At 35.3% G+C, this 12,362-nt stretch overlaps 1 protein-coding gene across 4 annotated transcripts in view, besides 1 other annotated feature; it reads right to left on the bottom strand.

Annotated features, from left to right (window-relative positions):
- The window catches only part of PIK3C3 (phosphatidylinositol 3-kinase catalytic subunit type 3), a 132,597-nt gene extending 120,921 nt beyond the window's left edge, over positions 1 to 11,676 (bottom strand). For 3 of the 4 annotated variants that reach the window (NM_002647.4, XM_047437549.1, XM_047437551.1), the window contains exons 1-3: positions 11,551 to 11,676; positions 9,152 to 9,340; positions 4,278 to 4,421 (exon numbers count right to left, since the gene is read on the bottom strand). In NM_002647.4, the coding sequence (NP_002638.2) occupies positions 4,278 to 4,421; positions 9,152 to 9,340; positions 11,551 to 11,618 (401 nt within the window). In that variant the 5' untranslated portion in view covers positions 11,619 to 11,676. The remainder of the gene's footprint in view (positions 1 to 4,277; positions 4,422 to 9,151; positions 9,341 to 11,550) is intronic. The other variant, NM_001308020.2, reaches the window with a different exon arrangement.
- Positions 11,719 to 11,898: an enhancer, noted in NCBI's record as "active region_13247". NCBI's record gives its function as "activates an Ori minimal core promoter by ATAC-STARR-seq in GM12878 lymphoblastoid cells {active_cell/tissue: GM12878}" and the evidence as "EXISTENCE:reporter gene assay evidence [ECO:0000049][PMID:35858748]".

Here is a 12,362-nt window from a genome sequence, read left to right as displayed (position 1 = left end):
CTATATTAAAATCTTACGTTATGTTAGTTATGTTTGGATAACTGCCCTACAACTATATAGGAGTTGAACTGATTAAAAATGAAAATGATGTAAAGCCTGATCTTCACCTTAATCTGAGAGTGAGCTGAATATTCCGTGTATATCTGACTATGGAAAACAGAACCATTCTAATTAAAGGACTTTTTTGCAGATATTGTATGCATATTTTGCAAATCAAATGAATTTCATATCATTTGTATTCACTAGGGATTCTTTTGCTTCAATTTCTAAAATTTAATAGCATAGTTTTTGTCATTATATTTAGTCTTGCTATTACCCACTAATGTTAAATAATACTTGTTTTCCATGTATAACAGGGATATCAAGCTTTTCTTTTAAAATAAGTGGAAGTTTAAAAAAAGTAAGTTGGGGTAAATAAAGATATCAAGTAAAGAACAATAGGCCAGGCATAGTGGCTCATACCTGTAATCCCAACACTTTGGGAGGGCGAGGCAGGCGGATCAGCTGAGGTCAGGAGCTCAAGACCAGCCTGGCCAACACGGTGAAACCCCGCCTATACTAAAAATACAAAAATTAGCTGGGCACGGTGGCATGGGCCTGTAATCCCGGCTACTCAGGAGGCTGAGGCAGGAGAATCGCTTGAACCCAGGAGGCGGAGGTTGCAGTGAGCTCAGATCACCCCACAGCAGGGCGACAGAGAATCCATCTCAAAAAAAAAAAAAAAAAAAAAAAGGAACAATATACTTAGCAAAGAGATATGAATGGAATTCTAAAAGTGATAAGTAAATGACTCAAGTTGGAGAAATCAAGCTCTAAGTGAGATAATTTCACGCAATCAGTGCTTCTCTCTAACAGGTTTCATTTATATCGGGCATCTGATGTGTTCGGGACATGAAGGAGTGTAGGATGACCTATTTTCCAGTTAGAGTTAAGAGAAAACAGATGACTTTCCAAGATTCAAAGTCTTATTTTAGTTAATGGCAGAAAACAAATTTAAGTAACCACTCACTTATTGCTACTGCTCCCTTTATAGAAATCCTTGGGGTTTAATGACTTTTTAAAGTAGAACAAGTGCTACTGATTTGTCTTTAGGCACGCTGCCAGCTTGGTTTGGATGGGAGGTAAAGGAATTTTCCTTTCACTGGGATATACACAGAATTACAAATAAAGTGGGCACCAAGAGAAGGAGTAAAGAAGAGGAACGCATGAATGCACGTGTAAGTCATATTAATAAACTATCACAAAGGTCAGTTCAGTGCTTCTCAAAATGTGGTTCATAGGCTCCCTTTCACAGACTCACTCAGGATGCTTGTTTAAAATGCTGATTCTTGGGCCCCACCACAGACACACTGAGTTAGTGAGAACCCAGGAAGATGCTTTTCTCATAGGCTTCCAGGATGGTTCTTAAACACAGGTTGATTATTACTGATTTGATGTAGTACTTTTTAAAAAAACGTGCCAGAAGCCAAACTAAACAGTACCAAAAATCAATCTGAGAGTTTGTTTAGATGTACGCAGTTCATTTCACTGCATCTGTGGAAATTTCAATTGTCCCTCCCACAACTACATCCTAGTCAGAAAATCCTCTGAAACTAGATCCTAAAGTCCCCTAAAATGCATGAGTACTAACGCAGGTGTTTTTATGAGGGAACCTCCTGTTGATATTCCAGAAGGTAAACCACTTGTGATGAATCTGGGAGGAAAAACCAAGAGGAATGTCTGGTTATTTCTCAAAAATATTTAGCCACTAAGAAGAGCTGTACATTTTTCTTTTTCTTCTCTGTTGCAAACAAGCCCCTCCCTAGTAACAAAAAATAAGGGGTAAACACTCTGTAAAAGAAACAATACTGATTTAGCAATATGTCCATTCTGCTGTAACATGCTATTTTATCAAAAAGTATATTTTAAAACTGAAAGTTACAATGTTTCAGACTACATCTAAGTTATTTTTCCTGTATGAATTTTAATAACAAATATCTCTTTAATAGCCACATTAAACTAAAATACCTAGGTATTTGTAAGCAACCAAGCTATTCCAAATGGGATTACATCTAGATTTCATTCATGAGTTTAGAAGCCTTTCTGACACACTCTTTTCCTGGATAGGAAAATTTAATATTATAAAGGCATCAATTCTCTCTTTAATTAACATATATAATTCAGTAAGATTTTCTAACAAAATAACATTGAGTTTTTTAATTGAGAAAATATTAAAATGTATCTGCCAAAACAAACCTGGAAATATTTTAAAAGAAAGACTAATAAGAATTATCCTTACCTAATACTTAAACATTTTATAATACTATCCTAACTGACAGAATAGCCCAGGAAGGATACCTAGTATTTATTAAGGTCATTATAATATTTATTCAATACATAAATATATGATATAATATTTATCAGGCCCATTAAATGTATTTAGTAATGTAACAATCATAAACTACTCAATGAGGTGGATACTATTGTTCTTTCATTTAACATATGAAGACATTGAGGCATAAGATTAAATAATCTGCCCAAGGATACACAGATACTAAGCAAAGAAGCCAAGATTTGAAGCCAGATAATCTACAACTTGCTTTCCTAACCACTATAGCACTATACACTATAATGCCTCTCTTAGACTTCAACACATGATGAATTGAGTATATAAGGATGCTATTTTAAAATAGCTGGATAAGATGACTTATTTAATAAGCAGTGTTGGGACAAATATTCAAACCATTTGTTTTGGTTTTCTCTAAAAAGCTATTCTCACTATACCACTCTTTCACAAAAGTAATTTTAGATAAATCAAAGATTTTAATATAAAGGAATAAAAGCACAACAGAAGAAACCATTTTAAAGAATCTTAAATGGGAACTTCCTAAAACATTAAATTCACAGCCCAAAAACTAAAAACTGATAGATTCAAGATAATAATTTAAAATCCATGAAGAGCAAACAAATACATACTAATTCAAAAGAACAAACCAAACCAGAAAAGCAGTATTTGTAACATAACCCACAAAGGGCTAATTCCATTCATCTACAAAGACTCCTTATATATCAATAAGAAAACGACAACTCAAAAAAAAAAAAAAGCAAAGAATTTTATGATATGTGAATTATATCTCAATTTCTAAAAAGGACAAAGTACATCAAAAAGCAGTTCATGGAAACATAAACACAAATAGTCAATAAACACTCCAAAATACAATCCTCCTCATACTTAATGATGTAAAAATTAAATAACATTTTTTAACTTTAAAGTAGACAAAAATTAAGACATTTGTAATATCCAGACAGATCTATAGCATTTCACACTGAAAGGAACCAGAACTTCTTTCAGAGATTCCAGGTCTGGAGCAGAAAATTACCAAATGAGCCTGGAAAAACTTGTCTACCAGAAAGCAAAGAAGCTACCAATCACTAGTAGTGTACTGCCAAAAGGACACGGGGTCTACTTGAAGGGTCTCCTACTGACCAAAAATGAGATTTTTTGAGCATTATAAAGAGTAAAGACAGCAATGGACTAAAACACATAAAAAACAAAATGCACAAAAGCCATCGATCACCACCTTTGCAAGTTACTAGGGCACAAACTCATTAGTCTTAAAATCGGTAAAGGGAAAGAAAGTTAAAATATTTATCTGTCTTTCCTATATGAACTAAGTAAATACTTGATGAAGGACCAAGTTCTTTAGTGAAAAATTCCTATTAGTAAATGCAGAATAATAACAGAATGTCACAAATTCTCTAAAGACAGACTGAGTCCTCTGTCCCAGGAGAAAAACGATATAGAGAAAATATCCTTTGGGACTATGGGATTTTTTTTTTAACAATTAACATCTAGTATTTGCAAATGTTTCAAAAACTGAATTATCTTTTCTATCACAATCATTACCATCATTAGCTAATGAATGCTTTTTAATCCTGTTTTTCATCCTTTCTGTCAATATTATAAAAAAAGCAGATAAACCCTGTAACAAAGCAGTTATATGTCATAGTCACTTTTCCCTAAAAGCAAGGTTCTATTTCCCAATGACTTCTATTTTCTACTAGAAATCACATTAAATCACCAACAGAAGAGCAATATAAATTGTATTTCCTAATCTATCTGTATATCCTGTAGGAAATATATGTTAAAATCAGTGTAAGGAATGATCAAATCATATGTACCTAACTGGTTTACACTGGAGACTGAGCATAAACTATTAAAGCCTTCCCTCATTCCGAAAAAGAAAAGGGTCAGAAAGCTGCTACACTCCTACAGATGAGACCAACAGAATGCTTACCCGTATTTTCCAAAGAGCGAAACCGTTGTTCCTCCTACAGGCACTGCTTTTCCGGGACCATACACATCCCATATGGTGAGGGCCACTTGGGCATTCCTGGGCAGGTCAGGGTATTTTACTGGTAGTTTCAGCCATTCATTCCAGCTATGGAAATGAAGTTAACATAAATCAGAAATACATATATATATATCTTTCTTTTAAATTAACAAACCACACAAAAAGTTTTGGCCAGAGGAAAAGGTTCCAAAAATGTTGTTAGACTCTAAAAAATAATATGGCAGTCACCTCAATTTTGCTAAAGGCAACTTTCCATTTTAAATAAAAACATAATTGTTTTAATAGAGCTCATGAAAAACAGCTCTGTTAAATTTTTTAATAAAACTCAGAAAACACCAAGACACCAGATAATATAATGGCGAAAAAAACCTGGGAAAACATTTCAACCTGTTAGAACTTTTTAAACAAACCATGATTTTCTTTAACCACTCTTCAAAACCCAATTTACATTATGAAGATAAAATAATCAAAATTACTCATACTCAAAAGCACTTCTGAGAATAAATCAGGAAAAAAAACAATCAAAACAAAAACTCAAAGTAGAAAATCTACTACCTTTATCACATGAAGTTACCAGACTGCTCCAGACAGATATGTGACTTCTTATGCGAGAATTTTCTGTTCCTCAAATGATTTCATTAATACTGATAACATTAAGCTATTAGTGCTTTATGCTTTCAAAGCACATCTGTATATATTCTTTCACTGAGGAATGTTTGTTAATAATAATATAGTTAATGACACCACAGCTCTTTTTTTTTAAACCCTCTATATATTTATGTAAATTTTCTTATACTTTTAAATTTCACACTGTATTCATTTGATAATTTCAACCCTCTTCAAGAGGAGCTGGCTTTTAAATTCCAAAAGAATACTGTGCCAACAATATGCCAAACTAATACCTAGCAGACACATAGAATTCTATTTCTGTTTACTCAAAATTATTCTGTTCATTCAAAGTTATTATCTAAGGGACATATCCTAGTCTATGTTAAATACATCTGTATTGCTAAAACATTTAACAAAATTTCCAAAAACTTAAACAACAAATCATTTATATACGCCATATAAATTAGAGATGGCTATCAATTTCAAGAAAAAGGAGTTATTAAATCCTTTTCTTCTATGAAATACTTTTTTAATCACATGCTTAAGAAAGCCAGTATCTACTACAAATAGGCTCAAACAACTAAATAAAATTATCTAATTACTAGCCACATGGTAGGGCAGGCTAGAAAGAAAAACACTAAGCAGTGCCAACTTTTGCCAATGAATAAACCACAGAAGTTAATTAACACTGGCTAAAGTTGAAGACAACAATAAGCGATAACATCCAAAATAATGTTTTGGATATTATCCAAATTTCTTTTTGGATAATATTGTGGAATTTATTATTCTGTATTCTGTCCTTTAATGACTACCAGACAACACCAATGACCAACTAATCATTTGTCTCAAACCTTTTGCTATCCAATACCAGGCAACACCACTTTCAATCAAAGCAACTGCACTTAATATGTTTTATATACGAGGCTTCTGCAGAAGAGTTCTTTTGAAAAAAATGATCCTACTTTGGGAGGCCGAGGCAGGCAGATCACTTGAGGTCAGGAGTTCAAGATGAGCTTCGCCAACATGGTGAAACCGTGTCTCTACTAAAAATACAAAAATCAGCCGGGCATGGTGGTGCGCGCCTGTAGTCCCAGCTACTTGGGAGGCTGAGGCAGGAGATTGCTTGAACCCAGAGGGTGAAGACTGCAGTGAGCCAAGATCATGCCACTGCACTCCAGCCTGGCGACAGAGCGAGACGCCATCTCAAAAAAAAAAAGAAAAAAGAAAAAATGATCCTTCAGTCAAAAAGTTTGAAAACTGCTCTAGATATTCTAGAAGTTATAGAAAAATCTAGTCAGACACCAAAAAGGTATATATTTTGGACACCACTTCGTTCTCCTCCTCTTCACGAATCATCCCTACCCCATCCGCTAACCCTCATTAACCTTAAGATTACATTCACTTGGCAACAATCAAAACATCACCAGACTGCAAAGCCTAAATCTGGATGCTCCAATCCCCACCAGGTACCGCCATCACCGCATACCATTGTGCTAGCACTCGAATCTGATTAAAATACTTCTGAATCCTAACTTTGTAATTTTTGAATTAGATTGTATTATATGTCTCTCTAAAGCCATTTTCAAAACCTTTATGAGACAATGTGAAATATAAGTGTTCTTAAAAATGTAAACTACTTCCCTAAAGAATAATATTCACATAAGAAAAAAACTTAGAAATTTGCAGTACATACACCTAAAAATGAGAATTTACCTTAAGTGTAATTAAAGGAAGTACAAGTGTCCCTCATGGGATCTCTTAGTGTAGGACAGAATAGGACATGATATGATAGACTTGAATAAATTTCGGATGAGTTCCTCATTATTAGAACTCTCACAACTCACTATCAGAAAGTCAGAAATCAAACAGATTTAAATAATTTAGAATCTCATACTGGCCCTAAAATACTATCTGAACTAAGGAATGCAAAAATTTGGATAGCAAGAGATCCCTTTATGATCTAATTTCTTCTTTCCAAGGTTTATAGAATATCTCTTTTAAGCAAATACTTATAAATAAGGACTATTTAAGGTTTTTACCTCCACTCACTTTAGGATGGCAATTTTTGTTTTGATGAACTACCAATAAATTCAACTTTCGAATACTAAAGAGCAGGATGTATAAAATGTGCAAATGTTTTCTCTTAGTCTCCTAAAGACTATTCTTTTTTTTTGAGATGGAGTCTCGTTCTGTTGCCCAGGCTGGAGTGCAATGGCTCAATCTCAGCTCACTGCAACCTCTGCCTCCTGGGTTCCGGCGATTCTCCTGCCTTAGCCTCCCAAGTAGCTGGGATTACAGGTACCTGCCACCATGTCCAGGCAATTTTTGTATTTTTAATAGGGGGTTTCACCATGTGGGCCAGGCTGGTCTTGAACTCCTGACCTCAAGTGATCCACCTGTACAGTATTTTTTTAAAAAGCCTATTCTCGTGGTATTTTATCCAAAATAAGGTGTTTTTCTAAATCTATTGTCTACATAGCTTAGACATTTTAATTTCAAAGTCGTTTTAAATAATTTTAGCGTACTTTCCAGTACTTTCACAATTTAAAAACTACAAACGTTAAAAATTCAACTTTTAGAGATCAAACATGGAAGTTTTTATATTCTTGCAAACATATAATATAAAAACTAATGCAGAGAAGAGTTGGCAAATGGGAGGAGGAGGAGAAAACCTTTAATCTTGTAATTGAGAATTTGCTTTTGTTGTAATTTCCTTTTTTGTCAAGTCATGCAACAGAAGCCACTATACATTTTTCCTTACCAAAATGTTTTTGGCCTTCTAGACCTAAATTTGTTTTAACTCTTCTGAGAGTAATAGGTGACCTCAAAAATCTAATTAAAGCTTTGAGCTCTGTCCCTGAAAAAGTACACAAAACACAAAATTCTGCATACACCTTCAGGGGTTTGAAGACTTCCTGATTCCAGTTTAAGAATCTCTGATACAATTAAGGAATTCTGCTCCATTGTTTTAGGTGTGATGATGATGATACTGTAGTTATGCTTTAAAAACAGATATACAGAAATACTTACAGTTAAGGTGTTATAACGTTTGAGGTTTGTTACAAAATGGTGAGAATACAAGATTGGCCATGAGTTAACAGTAGGTATGTAACAGAAACTTAGGCGTTCACTGTATTATTCTATTTTTGTAGGTTTAAAATTTTCCAGAATAAAAAGTATTAAGTATATATATATATTTTTTATGTGTGTGTGTATATCTACATACACATACACACATATCTATATACATATATATCTATATCTATATACACACATATATATATACAGATAGATAGGCTAGATAGACAGACAGACAGACAGATATCTCTCCACAAAGACTACTGAAGAAATTACACCATTAAAATACTTGGTTTCGATATGGCCAGATCACCAGAGTTCAGGCTTCTGCTGTTTGAAAACCCTTTCCAGCTACACTGGGTGACACCTGGGACACACAGGGTTGAACCCTCTATGGCACAGTCTGGCTGTCCATGTGGTCACATCCTGTCTTCCATGAACACTCCTTCCTTAAAAGCATACAGCCTGTGTATCCTACACTGAGCCTACCAGAGTGCTGAATAACACTCGCTGATCAAACATCAGAACTGCACTACATAGTCTATCAAATAAGAAGTGTCAAGAAGTCAGATTAAGGATCCACAATACTCTTCTGAAAAAAACAGGAACTTCATGTTCATTATATTTACCCTGCATCTTGACAAGGTCTTGCTAATGTGCCATGCTGAATAAACTATGAATCTAAATAAATTAGTTTCATATGTAAAATAATAATAAAAATTTTATCTGAACCGATGGCAATAGATCTATCTCTAAAAATCTGAGCTCCAAACATCAGGTTGGACAATATTTCAGACTATCCAGAAGTATTTATGCATTCAAGAGCACAGGATGGTAAAGAATTTTAAAATGCCACAGACGTGTTTTTGTTTTTGGTCATGTAAATCAGTCAAGTGCTTATCAAAATGTCAATATGCTAACTACAAACATAAATCCATTTCTATTTCAATTGCAGTTATAATACTGACATGCATAATACTTTATCTGAGTATGTTTCTACTTCAAATGATTTGATCAATGCCTATAGGTATTAAGAAATTCCTCTATAATCCTACTAAATTATACTTGCAGCATCCATAAAGAAAGGTAAGAACAGTCTGTAACATACCATATGCCACAAAAAAACTTACTTCCATCTTGTACTAAATGCTTTGTAGGATGTTCTCACTGGCAAGGCCAAAGGCTTCCCTTCTGCAAAAACTTGACAAGTAACATAAAGATCAGAGCATGTCTCTTGATATAGTCCTGAGAACTTCAACATTGGGTCTTCCAGGACAGCTTTATAACTCTTTTGTTCTCTCTTCCCTTCCAAGCTTCCTCTGAAAGCACAAGACCAACAATGTTTCAGACATGAATTTTTTAAGCATGTACATATATACATAAGTACTAAGCATGTACATATATGCTTTAAGCATGTACATATATGCATAAGTACTAAAAAGTTTACCTTTGTGTTAAGGTATGCTACCTAAACAACATTTTCCTGTATATGAAATTAATGTCATTTTTATATATGATAAGGGTTTCTTAAAATCCTAACATACCTAATATCAGTCCCATCTTCATCAACACATTTCTCTATTTTATACTTCTGAATTTTAAACGCTGCCATTGACCCTTGATCTACCCTCTGGAAGTCACCAGCTTTCTAGGCCTTGGTTTCATTTTCTTCATTTCAAGTTGACCACATATTCATCTATTCTTTCAGGAAACATTTACCATAGTGGACAAAGAAGCCCAGAAGAAAGAAAAGATAAGCAATACAGTATTACAATAAAATATTAAGTCATTGCTTCTGGGGAAAAAAATTTACTTTTAACTGCATGTTTTTATTCTACTCTTTCCATTTTTTTCTTTTACTATGCATATGCATTGTCTGATCATTTCTTTAAAACAGTGGTATAAGTCATAAATAGATATGCACAGGATACTATCACAGAGGGAGGAACATTTTTTAGACATCAAGATTACATCAGATACTGTGCCAGGCATTTTATATTTTCTTTCTTACATAATTTTCACCATATTCTCATTTTATAAATGAGGAAACAGAGACTTATAAACTAAACTCCTTATCCACAGTCACAACGTAAGTAACAGAGCTGAGAATAAACACTAGGGCAGGGAGGCCAAAGCCAATATTCTTCCCATTACAGTAAGATAAATCAGAGTCTCAAGAGTACTTAGGCTGGCATGGGGAAGGGACTTAGTACCCCAGATAGATGTCTGAAATGATCCTGAACAATGCATGAGAGTTGAAGCAAAAGAAGCAGAACGTCATCCCAAAGGGAAAGGAGACAGAGTGAGACCCTGTCTCCAAAAAAAAAAAAAAAAAAAAAAGGGACCGGTTTTTTTGGCTTTTTCTTTATTTTTAATGTTCAAACATTTCAAAAAATGCATTCATATATCCAAGAAATACTGAGCATCAAGCTGAAGGAAAGCCCTTTATCAATATTGATCCTGTATAAACTACTAGTGGTGTATGCTATGGAAAATACCTTAAATGAGTGTATAAAGTATCATACAAAGGTACAAGGTGGTTGTTGACATATTACTTTTACCACCACCACCACAAACTAAAAAGTAAAGTATTTGTCAGCGAATAAGGGACTTCTGAAAATAAAATGAAATGATCATTCAAAGGTACATCAGACAACTGAGAAAATTTATCTATCACTTACTGCAGGCCTTTGACCGACACATATTTGTTGAATATTAATTGAACATACACAAGAAATGTTTATTAATTATGGATGATGCTATGGTCAATAATTTGTGATAGCTTTGACAACACTCCTACATGACCACCTTAAAAGGGACATAATTTCCAACTCTGTCTTGTGCATCCCTCGTCATTATACCAGTTCTATTATCCTCATCTCAAGATATCACGCCCTTGACCTTTACTTCAGCCGTGGTGCCCCAACGTTTTCCTGCAAAGACTCTTTTCTCCTATCTTCTTGGTACCTTTGAAACTGGAACCCTCATCTTCGACTTACTCCCAACTTCCCTGACTAAACACTGCCATACTACCCAAAGATTCACTCTAGGCCTCTATCACCTCCCGTGCTAATACACCATGTGCTCATCTTATTCTCAACTATCGCATCTGCCTGTGTCTACCTCTCCATAATTTCTGAAGCCTTCATTCCACCCTACAAGCCCCGTTCCAAAATAAAGATCGTCCTCTTACTTACGACGAGACTTGATTTCTTAATTTACAATGAAATAGTAATAAACTCTCAAAAGGCTGAACAGCAAAAACTTTAAAGACTGTAAAATACAGCGGAACTTAAGGGCTATTCCTACTGCTGTGCTTCTCACGGAGACCACGTATTAAATCCTTTTCCAAAAGAGCCCCTCTCCACGATCCACTCTCTCGCGCCTCCCTGGCTACAGCCCTCACAGCCGCCCCCAATCTGGGCCTTGAGACGAGTCACGTACTTTCTGCCTCTCACTCCCAACAGGCCCCTGCCCCCACGTCCCTACGCCCCAGCAATCCCACTCCCTGTCCCGAGTGTTCTCTTACATCTTAAGCTGGACGTTGATATCCAGGTCACAACTATAGATGTAGTGAAACTTCTCTGCTTCCCCCATCGCACCGTCTGCAAAGGTACCACCTACAGCGGGAACTTAGGTACAGGAAAAACAACATAAATGAACCAGCTGAGCCCCACAACACGGAACTTCCGGTTCCGCCCCCGCCAGCAAGCCGCCAATCCACGCCCGGAGCGAGTTCCGACGCGGCGGAACTCCCCGCCGAAACAACCCTTCCGCGCATGTGCACAAGGCGCCCACCATCTTGCTTAAGGGCAAATGTATACGGGAAACGGCTAATCTGGTTACATTCCAGTTTTCCTGTCTTGACAGCACTTTTTTTTTTTTTTAAAGAAAAAGAGACGCTATCATTTGAGCTTGAGCTGTACCTAAAACAATACGAAAGAAAATTCAATTCAAAAAGAATTATAACAGCTTTCACTGGCTGCCGGCTAAACAGGTTACAAGCACAAAAATTGGAATTTTGCCAGGTTTAAATTCCAGTGGCCTTCCCAAAAAGTGTAGCACTAATTTGCTATCTCAAGCAAGGATTTTCTCTTTCTGCTCTAAAGAGTAGGGAAAGGACTAAATAGAGAATAAATAAATCTGGGTTTCATGTTTGGTGTTGTCAGTATTCATGCTACTTTGGACATAATACTTGCGTGCATGTTTAAACTGGGAATATTCAAATTCAATGTAGTTTCAAGCCCTAACCCAAGTTAGAATCTAGAGGCCTCCTGTAATAACTACAGAACACAGATCTCTAAACCCTCTGAGCTCCTATAATGTTTGTTTTTATAATTA

The sequence above is a fragment of the Homo sapiens genome, chromosome 18 (assembly GCF_000001405.40).
Source record: "Homo sapiens chromosome 18, GRCh38.p14 Primary Assembly".
Lineage (NCBI taxonomy): Eukaryota > Metazoa > Chordata > Mammalia > Primates > Hominidae > Homo > Homo sapiens.
Note: the sequence above shows the minus strand (reverse complement) of the source record. Positions and strands in the feature narration are given on the sequence as shown.